We start from the raw sequence: 17410 nt of genomic DNA on the forward strand, positions 1-17410 counted from the left end.
TGCTCCCTAATACTTAAGAAGCTTATACTGTATACTGAAATGTTCTCATTCATCTTTTTTTATTTGAGACAGGGTCTTGCTCTGTTGCCCAGGGCTGAGGTGCAATGTTGCAACCATAGCTCACTGCAGCCTAGAATTCCTGGGCTCAAGCCTCAGCCTCCTGAGTAGCTGGGACTATAGCTGCATGCCACCATACCCAGCAATATAAGATTGAGTGAAAGAATTCAGACACAGAGAAGTTTATACTGTATGATTACATTTATATAAATTATAAAAGCAAGCAAAAACAAATCCTATGCTATTAGAACTCAGGCTATTAGTTGGCAGGTTGTGACTGGCACGGAAGGCTTCTGGGATGCTGGTAACGTTCTATTTCTTGATTTGGGTGCTGGTTACATAAGTGTTCTGTTTGTAAAAATGCATCAAACTAGACTGGGCATGGTCGTTCACGCCTGTAATCCCAGCACATTGGGAGGCTGAGGCAGGCGGATCACGAGGTCACGAGATCGAGACCATCCTGGCCAACATGGTGAAACCCCGTCTCTACTAAAAATACAGAAATTAGCTGGGCATGGTGGCATGCGCCTGTAGTCCCAGCTACTCGGGAGGCTGAGGCAGGAGACTCGTTTAAACTGGGGAGGCGGAGGTTGCGGTGAGCCAAGATCATGCCACTGCACTCCAGCTTGGGCAATAGAGTGAGACTCTGTCTCAAAAAAAACAAAAAACAAACAAACAAAAAACAACTTATCAAACTATCCACCTATGATATGTGTAAGTCAATAAAAAGATAATTTTTTTCACTCCTGTAATCCCAGCACTTTGGGGGCCAAGGCAGGAAGACTGCTTGAGGCCAAGAGTTTGAGACCAGCCCGGGCAACATAGTGAGACCCCCATCTCCACAAAAACAAAAAAAGATAATTTTTTTTAAAAAGCACAGCAGTCAAAACAAGTTACACAGCATGATGCAAGCACTGCTACCAACTGCCAAGGTCAAAGCCCTGAGTGTCCCAATTGCAAATGCCTAGCAGCCTACATTCTGGACACATCCAAAGCCTCAATGTACACATGTCATGTGCTTCACAAATGACAGTCATTATGCATTTCTCAGTAGTCTCTGCTCATTAATGAGATGTTTGAGTCTAGGGAGTGTAATGGGCTGGATGGTGTCTCCCAGAAAAATATGTCCGAACCTCAACCCTGATCTTATTTGGAAATAGGTTCCTTGTAGATGTGATTAAGTTAAGGATCTCCAGATAAGATCTTCCTAGATTTGCAATGCACCCTAAAATCCAACAGCTGATGTCACAAGAAAAAGGAGAAGGAGATTTGAGACACACAGACACAGAGGAAGAGACACAAGGAAGAAGGCCATGGGAAGACTGAGGCAGAGATTGGAGTGATGCTGCCACAAACCGGAGAACAACAGAAGCCACCAAGAGAAACTGGAAGATGCAAGGAAGGAGCCCTCAGAGGGAGTGTGGCCCTGCTTACACTTCAGTTTCAGACTTCTGGCCTCCACATCTGTGAAAGAATACACTTCTGCTGTTAAAGTCAATCATTTTGTAGTAATTTGTTATGGTAACCCTAGAAAACTAATGTGGGGACTAAATATATAAAACCCCCTTTTCCTGCTCTAGCTCTTAATAGAGATCTAAATACCAGATTCAGACAGATGCATATCAAAATTCTACCTTGATAACTGATGCAGACATATTAGATGCCACAATTTAAATCATGCCACATAAGCTTACTAATAACTGACTGAGAACTGAATTGACTCATTCGGGCTACAGACCTTCCTAGCAGATGTTAGAATCTGCTCTGAAATGCTACTGCTTGGTAAGAATAGATAAGATCACATTTTCTCCAGAAGATGTTCAACATTTGTTTAGAGATGCTAGGTGCTTCCTGGGGGGCATGCAGTAAAGATGCTATTCATGGCCCTGAACAATTCAGCTCTGGCCCATGCTTGCATACCCCCATTCAACAAGAACTAAATAATTAATGAAGGCATTATTAGTTATTACCTGAGTACGTCCCTTGGTGTTTTACCTACACAAATACCCATCAAGTAGCTTATCAAAGTATTCTAATCATGTATACTGCTGTCTGTAAGAGGTGTTATTGTGTTTGTTTTGTTTTTGTTTTTTTGTTTTGTTTTGTTTTGTTTTTTTGTTTTTTTGAGACAGAGTCTCGCTCTGTCGCCCAGGCTGGAGTGCAGTGGTGTGATCTCGGCTCACTGCAACCTCCACCTCCTGGGTTCAAGTGATTCTCCTGCTTCAGCCTCCTGAGTAGTTGGGACTACAGGCATGTGCCACCGTGCCCAGCTAATTTTCGTATTTTCAGTAGAGATAGGGTTTCACCATGTTGGCCAGCTGGTCTCGAACTACTGACCTCAGGTGATCTGCCTGCCTCAGCCTCCCAAAGTGCTGGGATTACAGGCATAAGCCACCATGCCCAGCCACCTATTTGTTTTAAAGTTTTTATTTTGGTACATGACATTCATGTTTTAAAACCCCTACAGAATGTTGCCCCTCCCAATAGCTTGCCTGGCCTGCCATCTAATCCTGCTCTGCAGTGAAACCCAGTGGAGAGATATTCCAGGATCATACGGTCTGTCAACCCATAGGACAGAGAACAGGGTGGCCATAGTTTCCTGTCTGGAAGGCTTTCCTTCTGTCATCCTGATGCTCACTTATATTATCAAAGTAGCCAGACCCAGAAAACAGTTGAGACAAATAGCAGGTGAAGGTCACCTTTGGCCAAATCCCTTACTCCATTCTCCTTACTCCATTCCAAAGCCCCTTACTCCAAAGTCCCTTACTCCATTCTCCTTACTCCATTCCACTTTTTCTCTCAGCTAATTGTCAGGGCAACACATCATCCGTTAAACTTACCCCCTTTCGGGTACAGCGTTAGTGAGGTTGGGGCTTCCCTTTCTGGTTTATACATATTTCTGTTAAGGGCAAAGCTTGGCCTTAGAAATGGGGTAATTTGGCCTATGATGGGAGTTTTCAATTTAGTGATGCTGTAGAACAAAGGTGGAAGGATGACAATGTTTATGCAATGACCTCTTCCATCTCACTCTTGTGAAAGGTTGTGTAGCTTCTGGGAGACAGTCCCATGAGACCACAGCCCAGAGAGCTTCACTGGGAATATGGAAGGTGCTGCCTCCATATCCCCCCAGGTGACGAATGCATGGCAAGCCTCCTTGACAAGGTTGTCAAAAAGGTTCCTTCCTATGAACACATTTCTTTGAATTGAAAAAGGAAGGCAGGCTCTTTCTGACAGAAGTTAAGTCTAACTTGGCTGCTTGGCTATCCATTAAATATTTTTCACAAATTGAGTGAAACAAATTTGTACCACTAAGGATTTTATGAAATATATATTTAAAGCAATTGATAAAAGCATGTTAATACAAAGATATAATTAAAATTAATGAATATTTCTATTTTCCCTAAACCTTTCTGAGAACATCTGGTTAAACAAGCTGCCTTTAAGTGAAAGAGTGACAGGTATAATTAAAAGCCATTTAATATGCCTGGGTAAAGCCTTTTTTTTTTTTTGAGATGGGGTCTTGCTCTGTTGCCCAGGCTGGAGTGCAGTGGTGCGATCTCAGCTCACTGCAACCTCTGCCTCCCCGGTTCAAGGGATTCTCCTGTCTCAGCCTCCCAAGTAACTGGGATTACAGACACACACCACCATGCCCGGCTAATTTTTGTATTTTTAGTAGAGACAGGGTTTCACCATGTTGGCCGGGATGGTCTCGATCTCCTGACCTCATGATCCGCCTGCCTCAGCCTCCCAAAGTGCTGGGATTACAGCGTGAGCCACCGTGCCCTGCCTGGGTAAAGCCTTCTTAGTTGAATTGCCAGAAATGGGAAAGAATGACACTATTACCTGAGTAACAAATCATTTGTAAGTCAAATGACTTTTATTTCTTTGTTTTCAACATACTGAAAAAGGACTCAAGTTATCAGTTGATGTATTATCAACTGACAAAAAAATAGTTTTGATGATACATCACCATGTGATTTTTCAGCAAATAATTTGGAAGTAGTTCAAAGAATTGGATGACATTGCCATTGTAAAACTTCTCTTGCCATCTACTTTTAATGTGAACAAAGTATCCATAAAAATGAAAAATCAGGCCAGTCGCGGTGGCTCACGCCTGTAATCCCAGCACTTTGGGAGGCCAAAGCGGGTGGATCACGAGGTCAGGAGATCGAGACCATCCTGGCTAACACGGTGAAACCCCGTCTCTACTAAAAATACAAAAAATTAGCTGGGCGTGGTGGCTGGCGCCTGTAGTCCCAGCTACTCGGGAGGCTGAGGCAGGAGAAAGGTGTGAACCCAGGAGGCGGAGCTTGCAGTGAGCCGAGACCACCCACTGCACTCCAGCCTGGGCGACAGAGCGAGACTCTGTCTCAAAAAAAAAAAAAGAAAAATCAGAATGAAATTGATCTTGAATCATGTAAGTAATATTCATCCATGGACATATGGCCTAATTGAAAATACTTTTGTGGTAAAATTTTATCTTTTATTAAGTAATTATTTATAAAAGTATGAATATTATGTGAAGTCAAAGAAAAATTTATTCCAATATAAACACACATTTTTGTGGCAGAGAAACATAACAAAATGAATAAAATAAAATATTTTTTCTTTTTTTTTTTTTTGAGACAGGGTCTCACTCTGTCACCCAGGCTGAAGTGCAGTGACACAATCACAGTTCACTGCAGCCTTCACCTCCTGGGCACAAGCGATCCTCAGCATCCCGAGTAGCTAGGACTACAGGCATGCGCCACCACGCCTAGCTAATTTTTGGATTTTAAAAATAGAGACAGGGTCTCGCCATGTTGCCCAGGCTGGTCTCGAGCTCGTGTTCTCAGGCGATTGGAAAATAAAATATTTTCAATCCAAAAAAATATGATTAGATACAATTCTGTGGAGCTGAAGGAGACAAGGCAGCTATGTCAAACCTCCAGCTCTCAAGGGCTTTTACATGCATTTTTTTAAATGGATGGTGATCGAGATCAAGTCAGTAGATTCCACTTGAGATATTTCATAGTGAGATAACAGTATATTTTTAAATGTCAATAAAATGTCAATATGGCAAAAGTCACACCATTTGTAAGTATTTAAACTTATGATAAAGCATTTTAGATGCTTGACGGGTCATTTTCAAAATTATGTTCCAAATTGTCTTAGGGGCATGCGAAGGCCACCCTTCTGGTCTCCGCAGCTCCGCTCCCCAGGACAGCGGCTTCCTAGGGCTGTCTCTGTGCATCTTCAAGGAGGGCGACTTCTTGGTTCAAGTCCCAAGCTCACCTCCTTGCTTCCATTCTCAGGTTGGTCCCCAGGGCGTGAGACACACCAACGCTCCCATTCCCTCTAGTTTCTCTCTTTCCCCCACTTTCTCACTCGTTTCAAGAGAACGTTCCTATCCAGCGAATTTGTCATCATTTTCACTGCCTGGGTAACAACCATCGCAGCTGCCTTTTTTTTTTTTTTTTTTTTTTCTTGCAGGGAATGGGCCTGGAGCCGTGAGCCGTCCCCTTCGCTAACCCCCAACCCCGCCTTCTCCTGCTCCTCCTCTCTTCACTCTTCCTGCCTCTCGGCTCCGGGGTCTCCTCGCTTCCCCGCAGTCCCCGCCCCCCAGTTCCCAAAGCGGCACCCGGGCCTCGCCTCCTTCCAGCGGAGCCGCGCGCCCTGCGTCCTGGCCTCCCCGCCCCGAGTCCCCTTCCCTGGAGCCTGGGGGACCGACAGTCGCGGGCCACGCACGCGGTCCCAGCCTCGCCGTCCGCCCCGGGGAGAGCTGGAAGGTGGGCCCGGATCTCCCACATCACTATGAGCTCATTCCAGCCCCGGCCAAGCAAAGCCTGGCCCTACTCGCTCCACATGCATTTCAGTCTCCTCTCGCCTTTCATGCGCGGAGGAGCCGGGAGGGAGAGGATGTGACCTCATCTGCGCGGCATCTGAGCCCAGGGGTGCCCCAGCTCTTCCACCCAGGCCGCTCCCCGAGCCCAGCTCCCCGCGCCCCTCTCTCTATCCAGGAGAGACGCATTGGACAGCCAGGAGGGCTCGACGTGGAAGGAAAGGAAGCTGCAATTCTGGGACAGGGGCAGACGGGAGAGGAAGTGAACGTGGCTAAACGCTCACTTTATGTAAAACGTCCCCCAGACTAGAATCTCGTCCACAGAGCTGCACACATACACTCGCACGGGCCCGGCTTGTACTCAGGCAGGCACACTCGCCCCCCGCCGTCCCCACCGCATCCCCCATACCCGTCCTAACTCACTCCAGCCCCAATACAACCAAAAGGCATGAATTCAGGCGAAGGCGTTTTCTTCCCCATTTCCTCCTCATGGCAGCAACGGAAACCTGAATCTCAGAGCTGCCATGGGACCAGGGGGCCAACAGACCAGAGGCACCATCCTCAGAGCCCCCGGTCTGCCTGGGACTGGGAGCATGGCTGTGGCGCCCAATGAGAACATAGTGTCCATAGTGACCATGATTCTTCAAGTGGTGTCTGAATTTCCCACATTAGCTAAATTCCTTTGGGAGCTTCAGGGTTTCCAGTCTTCCAGGGTTTTTGGCTTAAATGCAAGTACCTCTTGGAAGAATGGCACATGCCCCCATACCCTCAGGGTAATGGGACAAGGAGAAGATGGAGTAGGGGGTGAGGCTCAGAAAGGCAAGGGAAAGTGGCTCTATCTCTCTCCAAGTCACTTCTCAAACTGTGCAGGGTTTGCAGGAAAGGTGGGTGGTCTACTCCTTCCCTGCTTTTCCTGAGACTCCAGCCAGAGGGTGGGCTCCTATCTGGGTTACTGGCGTAATGTCCCTGCCCTCTGGGATCCCTCCTCTAAAAAGTTTGCACATAGCTTCATTCTGTGCTGGGTCCACTTTGTTCAAGTTGGAGTCACCCAACTACCAATAGAAAATAGCGAATAGAAAATAGAAAATAATAGAAATATAGAAAATAGAAATATACTAATATAGCCAAACTGGTGGTTCCCCATCACAAATGCTCTCTTCCCCTCTTCCCTGCACACACACACACCCATCACCATCACCACTCACCTAGCTGACTCCTCACCTTTCAGGCCTCCATCAAAGAGGCCTTCACCAACTGTAGTATCTAAAATTGCCCTGCTCAGTGTCTGTTATATTACCCTGTCAGTTTCCTTCCAGGAATGTCATTATTTGATCTTGTTTACTTATTTTGTTTACTTATTTATTTACTTATTATCTGCAGTGCTACCATCACCTCCCCCTACCAAAACCCCTTCCGAACACACCCAGCTCACAAGTACATGAGTTCTACAGGCAAAGAGACTTGGCCAGTGTCACTCACCATTTGTAAAGTTGCAGGATGGGCCTGGCGCCCAGGAAGTTCACATCTGAATATGTCAACAAAGGAAGAAATGCTAGGTGTTTGTGATACCTGGTGCCCTCTGCTTCCTTCTGTGTTAAAGCTTTCCTAATAATCCAAAGTATTTTTTGTTTTTTGAGATGGAATCTCAGTCTGTCGCCCAGGCTTCAGTACAGTGGTGTGATCTTGACTTGCTGCATCCTCCGCCTCCCAGGTTCAAGTGATTATCTTGCCTCAGCCTCCCAAGTAGCTGGAATTACAGGTGCGCACCACCACGCCCAGCTAATTTTTCTATTTTTAGTAGAGATGGGGTTTCACCATGTTGGCCGGGTTGGTCTCGAACTCCTGACCTCAAGTGATCTGCCTACCTTGGCCTTTCAAAGTGCTGGGATTACAGGAGTGAGCCACCGCGCCTGGCCAAATTATTATTTATAGTATATAAACATATATTAACATATAATACCTATTATATGTAATATATAATTATATATACATATATACACACAATATGTAAGTATATAACATACAATTATCAGTGTCTGTCATCTGTATTAGACTGTGAGCCACTCCAGGCTGCTAACGTTTTCTGATACCTCTTGAGCTCAGCGTCTAGCCTAGTGGCTGGCAGAAAGTAAATGTTCAAGAGTTTATCAACCTATTTGTTTGCTGTACAATGATGAGAAAAGTATTGATTTTGAATAGTAGGAAAGTGATAAATCTTACATTTGTACAGCTCTTAAAAGACTGCTAAGTTCCTCCATGCCATTTCATTCCCATGACTGTAAAACGTAAGCATAACATAGCATTCTCCCTCCTCTAGAGATGAGCAGACTAAGTCTGCAGAAGGCTGAGTGATTTCTCCAGGGCATGAATTAGTAGGAGAAGAGCACTGAAATGTTCAATAGTAACTGTAGAACTGACTTATTTCTTCTTTCAGTTCTATCACATTTTGCTTTGTGTATTTTGAAACTCTGTTAGCATAAGTTCGTTTAACACTGTAGAATTAGGATGGACTCATGCTACTTCTCATGGCTTTCCTTCCAGCTTTGTTTTGTGGTGGGTTTTCCAATCCCATAACATTTAGTTCATGCATTTCCTCTTAATAGCTTTCCCTGATTTCCTCAGCAGAGATAATCTCCCTGCAATCATATTCTGGTTATGCCTTGTATACACACCTTTATTATCTTCACAATTTTACTCCGATTATTTGTATTTGTGCATGTTTTCTCCACTGGATCATGTACTCTTCTCAAGATAAGACTGTGAATTATTTATGTATACCTGTCCTATTCCTAGTACAACACAGAGTACCTTTTAGGTACTTAAATCAACTCTTAATTGACTTTGTTCTCCATATCATAAGAAGCATAAGAATAGCACCCAGAAGAAATACATGACAGACCAATGCACTGGAAGCCACTTTCAACACGACCTAGGAAAGCATGTCATGTTGTGAGGGTTGCCTGCCTCAGCCTTCTGCTCAGGGACATGGGTGTGGTCCCCAAAATCAATGGCTCGTCCTGTGCTCTACTTACAGTCTCCCTTTACCACCTCAGAGCCTACCTCCCTTCTTTACCTGGCCAATACTAAGTCCCTAGTGTGGGAGAGGTTCTTCGCTTTTGTGTTATAGGACCATGTATATAAGACCCTAGGGCTTAAGGGAGGTCTCCCTGGGAAGTGATGATCAAAATGAGATCCAAGGAAAAGTAGGAGCTAGCCAGGCAAGGAGAAATGAATGAGTGTATTGCAGACAGCGAAAACAGAATCACCGTGACAGCAACGTTCACTGAATGTTCAGCCTCAGCGTCACAGAGGCCCTAGGGAGCCGGGGACTGTGAGCGCTAGAGAGCTAAAGTACTCAGCTCCAACCAACTGTGGCCATGCAAGAAGGGTGGGAGGAGGGGTGCTAATGCCTGTTCCAACTTTTCAAAAGAAACTGAAAACCTGGATTTTTATGAGAAATTCCCTGATTTTAAATGTTGGCTCAACTTTAAAAATATACTGCATGTGCCAAATAAAACACACCTGTGGGTTTTAATGGGCCAATGGGTAGCCAATTTGAGAACACTGGGTTAGAATGGATATAAAACATGAGGTAGGAAGCAGCTAGCAGTGAGCAAAGGTAGAGGCCAGAGAATGAGAAAAGTTCCAAGGTTTGTTAAGGAGATTCACTGGCAATGAAAAGACATTGGAGGATTTAAAAAAAAAGATCAGATTTATATTCAGGAGGACTATTCTGGTTGCAGTTTGGAGAATCAATGGGAAGGGATCAGCAGTGTAAGTAGGAAGACCAGTTTTAAAAAATGATTGTGATAACACAGGTGAGATATGTAGGGGCCTGGTCTCAGGTGGTAGCAGCGGGGGAGGGGTAGAAATGGCTTCACTCAAGAGAGACTCCAGATATAGAATCACAGGACTTGGTGTTTGGTTAAATGCAAAAATGTGAGGAATAACAGAACAATCAAGAATGATGTCCAGGTTTCTGGCTTAGATAATGGAGTGTGTTTTAGCATGATTTAACAAGATAGAAAAAAAAAGAAAAAGCAGCTTTGGGAAAAGTTGAGTTCCATTTTGACCATGTTGAAGTTAAGGGGCTGGAGACACATCCAGATGGAAATTTCTAGTGGGCAATTGGATTTCAATAAAAGAAATATGTGTTAAAAAATAGATTTTGGTCGGGCATGGTGACTCATGCCTGTAATCCCAGCACTTTGGGAGGCTGAGGCGGGCGGATCACTTGAGGTCAGGCGTTCAAGACCAGCCTGGCAAACATGGTTAAATCCCGTCTCTACTAAAAATAAAAAAAATTAGCCAGGCATGGTGGCACGTGCCTGTAATCCCAGCTATTCAGGAGGCTGAGGCATGAGAGCCACTTAAGCCCAGGAGGCAGAGGTTGCAGTGAGTCAAGATCACACTATTGCACTCTAGTCTGGGCAACAGAGTGAGATTGTGTCTCAAAAAAAAAAACCAAAAAACTAGATTTTGGAGTCATCAGCGGTTTATAATAAAGCCATGAAGGAGGTTGTGATACCAAGGAAGAGAGTGCAAGGTGAGGCTAGAAAACAGCCCAGCACAGAGCTTACTTTAGGAGTGAATAGAGGTGAAGAAGTTGCAAGCAGATCAAAGAAAAGTCAGAAAAGAAGGAGGAAAACCAGTAGAGTGTGGTCTCATGGAACCCCAGGAAAGCTTTTGTTTCTAGGAGCAAATGGACTGCTGTGTCAAATATTGCAGAGATACCAAGTAAGCTAAGGACTGAAATGTACTCATGAAGTCAGTGATACGGAGATCCTTGGTGATCCTCGTGGGCACCGTCTCACGGAAGTGGTTAGGATGAAATCTAGCTTGCTGAGGATTGAGGAGAAAATGAAACTTGAGAAGAAAGAGACGCATTTGGACAGCTCTTTGGAAGTTTGGCTGTGAAGGGAAGAGAAAGAAAAGACCAGAAGATGGTGCAAGATGAAGGGAAGGTTTTGAACATGTTTTTTCTTTATGAGAAGTCTTTAGAAAGGGAGAAGGAAGTGGAAGAAATAAGAGAGGAGAAAAAGCATCAGTAGCCCTAAGGTTAAGAAGGCAGGAGAGGATAGACTCTGAAACATGTGGGGAGAGATCACCTTAGACTGGAGAGACCTGTGGACGGAAGAGGGAGGAGGAATGCAAGTAGGTTGTGAGCTCCATTTGAGGGCTTCTATGTTTTCCCTCTGAAGTCAGAGTTGACATCACCAGCGGAGAGTCATCGTGGAAGTGGAAACATCCTGAGAGTTGAGGGGAAGTGAATAATCTTTGTGAGAGAAAGTGACTGTCTTGCTCTAGTTCTCACAACTGGTAAGTTTGGGTCCTTCTGTGTGTTCTAGTAATCCCTCTTCTCTCCTTCAAAGGGCAATTGGATTTCTAAGCGACAGACCACTGAGTATGTAGCACTTCCTACACCTTGCAGAAAAAGCCTTGAATTGGAGTCAGGAAGCCTGAGTAGAATCCCAGCCCTACCACTTCCTAACCTGGATTGAAGATAAACACCAGGGCATGAGGGGCCAGGAGGACAATGCCAAATACATTGGGAGGCCAAGGAGAGCGGATCACTTGAGTCCAGGAGTTCAAGACCAGCCTGAGCAACATGACAAAACCACATCTCTGCAAAAAATACAAAAGTTAGCCAGGGGCATTGTGGCGCACGCCTGTAGTCCCAGCTACTCGGGAGGCTGAGGTGGGAGAATCACTTGAGCCAGGGAGGTGGAGGTTGCAGTGAGCTGAGATAGTGCCACTGCACTCCAGCCTGGGCGACAGAGTGAGACCCTGTCTCAAAAACGAAAAAAGAAAAAGAAAGGAGAGGTGTACATGTGGATGTCTGTGTGCCAGAACACACTGTTACCCACGGCCTCTATACCATCTTCAGTGCTGAGTACTTGGCCCTTATCTCTGCCTCTCAATTCCAGTCGCCAACAGTTTTCTCTGAAAGTGTTCAATCTCCAGGACGTTACCACTCCCATATACTGAGTATCAGTAATTCTCTATTGTTCATGCCCAAAGCTTTCATTTCAAGGACTTGGCTTCGTTCTGATACTCATCCTCTCTCACCAATGTTAGACAGAAAATAAGGAGTTGTTTTCCTCTGGCCTCTACCTTTTAAACCCAGTCAGGTGGCAAGGTCTAGGGGACATCACAAGAGTCAGGCAGCAAATTCAGGCGAAGGCAGTGCTATCTGCTGAGTGAGCCCAGAGAAGGTATTCTCTCTGATCTTTCCCATTTGGACTGAGAATAATACCGTGCTCTTCAGACGGCTGATGAGAATCTGTTGGCCTCCAGATTGACATCATTCTTTGGCCTCCAGAAGGGGTGACATCTAAAGATTCCAGACAAATGAATAACTGAACATGCAGCCCACTGCCTTGCAGGAAAGATCTTAGCTCCTCTATCTCTTGCTAAAGTGAAAATGCATCTTCTTTTTTTCGTCTTTTCTCTGTGCACACGGGAGTTTCTTCTTCTCTTTTCAGAATCACACCATGTCTGTCTCAGACTTCTACTTCTATTCTCCTATTTGCCCATTGTTCCTTTCAATTTAGTTTTGGTCCACGAACGGCAATACTAATGCTATGTAACGAGATAGAAAAACTTGGATTCTCCAGAATTTCTCTTAGGAGGGAAATTGTACTTTAATAAATAGATATAGGTGGTACAAGTGCACTTGTGTTACATGGATATATTGCATAGTGGAAAGTCTGGGCTTTTAGTGTAGCCATCACCCAAATTGCGTACGTTGTACCCAATGGGTAATTTTTCCTCCGTCACCCCCTCCCACCCTCCCACCTTTTGCAGCCTCCAGTGTCTGTTATGCTACTCTGTACGTCCGTGTGTACCCAGTGTTAGCGCTAACTTGTGAGTGAGAATATGCAGTATTTGACTTTCTGTTTCTGAGTTATTTCATTTAGGAGAGTATCCTCCAGTTTCATCCATGTTGCTGCAAAAGGCATGATTTCATTCTGTTTTGTGGCTGAATAGTATTCCAAGGTGTGTGTGTGTGTGTGTGTGTGTGTGTGTAGTATTTATACCATATCTAGTATTGATATATTAATTATTAATAAATAAATAATTAATAATTGATACATTAATATATACTATCTATTTATATGGTATTAATAGTATTATAACATATAAATATAGTATATTCATATATTACAGTATACTAATATATGGTAATATATAAATACAGTATATGTTAATGAGTATCAAGTATTAATTATTAATATATTACTATATTAATACTATATAGAGTTAATGCTACACTTTAGTACTAATATTAATTCTAATTATTTAGTATACTAAAGTATTAGTATTAATTCTACTATATACATATAGTATATATATACATATATACATATATATACACATATTATATATATGTATATAGTACATATATACATATAGTATATATAACATTCTATATACTATATGTACTATATATTATATACCAATTAGTATTACTATACTAATTAATATTAATACTAACATTAATATTGGTACTAATTAGTATTAGCAATATACTATTAATTAGTATCGTAATCCTAATTAATACTAAGTACTATATTGGTACCTATATTAATATTAATATTATATATATACACACCATGGAATACTAACTGTGGTATATACATATATATACACACACATATATAAATAAATACATATATATATATATATATATACACACACACACCACATTTTTTGTATCCACATTTTCTGTACCTTCTGAATCTGTTGCTGGACACTTACATTGATTCCATGACTTTGCTATTGTGAATAGTGCTGCAATAAACATATGAATGCAGGTGTCTTTTTTACTATAATCATTAGTTTTCCTTTAGGGAAACTGTAGTTTTTGACAGGTGCTTGGGCCTGAATATGGGTAGAACTGTTTGTCACAGGTCAAGGTAAATAATATGCTATTGTCCATTGCTCAGGGGAAAGGAAAAGAGAGGAGAGAGGATGAAGTCTCTGCTTGCCCTAAATTCTCATGAAAAATACCTCACTCGCAAAATAGTTGGGTCTCTCTGGATATTTTTGTGGAAAACAGGGTAGGGGCACAGACACAAGATTGTTAAGGCAAAGAGAAATATGATCAATATCAAGATTCTATGGAAGTTTATTATCTACTGTGTGACAAATTACTCAAAACTTAGTGGCTTAAAACAGTTTGTTTTTATAATCTCACTGTTTCTGTGAGTCAGGAGTCTGGCACGGCTGAGCTGAGTCCTCTGTCTCAAGGTCCCTTTACAAGGAGACAGTCAAGATGTTGCCAAGGCTGGGGCCTCATCAGAAAACTCTACGGAAGAACAATCCTCTTCCAAACGCAGACGTTGTTGGAGATCTTTATCTTCTCTGGTTGCTGGCCAGAGGCTACCCTTGGTTCCTTGCCATGTGGACCCATCCAGTAGAGTCCACTAGCAAGAGAGAAGTCAAAATATCTTGTAACCTAATCACAGAAGTGATGTCCCTTCAACTTTGCCATATTGTATTGATTAAAATTAAGTCAATAGGTCCAGCTCCTACTCAAGCAGAGGGAGTTCTATACAAGGACAGGAATACCAAGAGGCAGGAGTCACTGGGGCCACCTTGGAAGTCTTCCTATCACAGGTAAGGTCTAGATTTTCACAGGTTGTGGAATAGGGGTTCAAGCCAAATATAATCATGTCTTAGAAAGGTACAGTGGCCCCAGCTTACCCGTGGCTTTTAAAAAGCTACCATTAGTTGGCACAATTATGTGCCAGCCGCTGTGTTATACACATGCATTTCTCTTTTAATGTACAAAATAGTGTTAAAAATACTGTTTTCATCATGCAGATGTAAGATGAGGAAAGGAAGTCGTGGATTAAGTAATTTGACCAGGGTACAAAGCCAGTTAGTGGCAGGGCCAGGACACAAGCACAGGTTTGTCTACCTCCAGACCTGTGCCATGAAAGATTAATCTGTGCTCTCCTTTCAGCCAGTTCTATGCACTAGACTCTGCTGCTTACCGTGCCTCACCTATGGGTACCAAACTCTGGATCAGTTAAAAAAGAGTTTGGCTTTAATAATCAATAACTTGTTAAATAAGAAGGCTTAAATAAAAGCTTACGAGATAGGCAGTCCAGGGCTTGTGTCAGTAGCTTCACAATTTCATCAGCATCCCAGGCTCCTTCCGTCTTTTAGTTCTACGAACTTCAGTGTGAGCAGATGACTGCTGCAGCTCCTGGGGTCTTGTCTACATCTAGGCAGAAAGAACAGAGCCATTTTCTTCTTTTGTAGCTTTGTCTTTTTATTCAAAAAAGAGACCCTCTCCAAGCAGATCTGCACATATATCGCATGGGGTAGAAATGGTGCTGTCTTACTCTCCCTAGTTGCAAAGGATGTTGAGATGGCTACAATTTTAGCTCTCCAACTTCTATTAAAGAAAGAGAAGGATTACAGATAAATGGGGGCTGATATAGTCTCTATGTTAGTCCCTCCAAATCTCATATTGAAATGTGATCCCCAGTTTTGGAGTTGGGGTCTGCTGGGAGATATTTCAGTCGTGGGAGCAGATCCCTCTTGAAAGGCTTGGTGCCATCCTCAGAGCAATGAGTGACTTCCCTCTCTATCAGTCCCCACAACATCTGATTGTTAAAAAGAGCCTGGCACCCCCTCCCCTCTCTGTTTTTTCCTCTATTGCCATTGGATGCTTGCTCTCCTTCCCCTTTCACCAAGAGTAAAGCAATCTGAGGCCCTCACCGGAAGCACATGCTGGCACCATGCTTCTTACAGTCTGCAGAGCTGTGAGTCAAATGAACTTCTTTTCTTCATAAATTACCCAGCCTTAGGTATTCCTTTATAGCAACACAAAATGGTCTAAGACAGGGGCTCGCCAATTCATACTGGTGTTAAACAGATTCTGTTGATTACGGACCTCCCTGCTCCCCATATTAATGATGAAGAAATAGGTATAATTAAACTTCTTCTAACCTCTTCTTCCTCCATCTCAACATTTCTTATTACTTTTATTACTATTTATTTTTCTGGGATGGAATTTTGCTCTTGTTGCCCAGGCTGGAGTGCAATGGCGCAATCTCGGCTCACTGCAACCTCCGCCTCCTGGGTTCAAGCGATTCTTCTGCCTCGGCCTCCCGAGTAGCTGGGGTTACAGGCATGCACTACCATGCCCAGCTAATTTTTTTGTATTTTTAGTAGAGACGGGGTTTCTCCATGTTGGTCGGGCTGGTCTCGAACTCCTGACCTCAGGTGATCCACCTGCCTTGGCCTCCCAAAGTGCTGGGATTACAGGTGTGAGCCACCATGCCCGGCCCTTTATTATTTCCACCTTGTCAAATTGATAGCACTTACATTCTGTTCTGAAACCACAAGTCATACACTTTTAAAATTGTATTCTATATTTAAATTTTTTCAACATAGCTTTTTCATTTATCTTTTTGTGAATAAATATTATGTGAAACCATATAAAATTGCTGATATTTGACCACTGTTGCTCAGAAAAATGCCTATTTCATATGCTTAATCTAATAGATATTCAAGAAGGTTTGTTAAGCAGTATTTTTTTGTATTTTGTATATATTTTGTATATTTACAAAATTGCATATGATTAAAAATATCTGTCAGTGCTTTTATATGAAATGACAGCTCTTTGTTTATACTGTTCTTGTGTGACACCATTTCCTTGAGGTTTTATAGACCTTGCTTCACTTTCCTCTAATGTAAGAATTTTTTTTGTTGAAGTCTCAGCCAGCCTGATAGTATTTTTCCTCATAGGTAACTTGAATTTTTGTTTGGATGCCCATAACATTATTTATTATTTTTATCATTTTTCTGATTTAAAAAATCCTTAATCCTAGAATTCCAGTAAATTTGCTGAGATACATATCAATTTAGATAGTTCATTATCAAATATTTTCCTGGAACATAATTTGTCCAGGAAATTGTGGGAAACACGCCTGTAATCCTAGCACGTTGGGAGGCCAAAGTGGGTGGATCACGATGTCAGGAGTTCAAGCCCAGCCTGACCAAGATGGTGAAACCCCGTCTCTACTAAAAATACAAAAATTAGCCAGGCGTGGTGGCGGGTGCCTGTAATCCCAGCTACTCAGGAGGCTGAGGCAGGGAATTGCTTGAACCCGGGAGTCGGAGGTTGCAGTGAGCTGAGATCATGCCACTGCACTCCAGCCTGGGTGACAGAGCGAGACTCCGTCTCAAAATAAAATAAAATAACATAAAATAAACAGGTTTAGAGAGTTTGAGAAAGTGGAATAGCTGAAATTCAGCCCTAGTTCCTTCTGACTCAATAATAAACTTCCATTACTTACTGCTTTCAAAAGTTTCCATCAAAGTACCCCTAAACAGCAGAAGAGAATGGATAGCAGCTATCTCTGGAAGATATGTCTCAAGAGAACAACAAAAAGATCAATAATTCTTAGGTGATTGGTAGATGATAGATAGATAGATAAATAGATAGATAGATGATAGATAAGATAGATAAATAATGGATTAGATAGTATTTCAAAAACCTATCAAATGATG

At 42.8% G+C, this 17410-nt stretch overlaps 1 long non-coding RNA gene across 3 annotated transcripts in view, besides 1 other annotated feature; it reads right to left on the reverse strand.

Annotated features, from left to right (window-relative positions):
* Positions 5671-5840: a silencer, noted in NCBI's record as "silent region_4146". NCBI's record gives its function as "represses an Ori minimal core promoter by ATAC-STARR-seq in GM12878 lymphoblastoid cells {active_cell/tissue: GM12878}" and the evidence as "EXISTENCE:reporter gene assay evidence [ECO:0000049][PMID:35858748]".
* Positions 13992-17410, reverse strand: part of LOC105369612 (uncharacterized) — a 30940-nt gene continuing 27521 nt past the window's right edge. The window contains exons 1-3 of one of the 3 annotated variants that reach the window (XR_931570.3): positions 15235-15560; positions 14982-15113; positions 14158-14307 (exon numbers count right to left, since the gene is read on the reverse strand). This is a non-coding gene — a long non-coding RNA (uncharacterized LOC105369612). Of the gene's footprint in view, positions 14308-14981; positions 15561-17410 lie in introns of those variants that run through there. The other 2 variants (XR_931569.3, XR_007063174.1) reach the window with 2 other exon arrangements.

The sequence above is a fragment of the Homo sapiens genome, chromosome 12 (assembly GCF_000001405.40).
Source record: "Homo sapiens chromosome 12, GRCh38.p14 Primary Assembly".
In the NCBI taxonomy this organism is placed as follows: domain Eukaryota; kingdom Metazoa; phylum Chordata; class Mammalia; order Primates; family Hominidae; genus Homo; species Homo sapiens.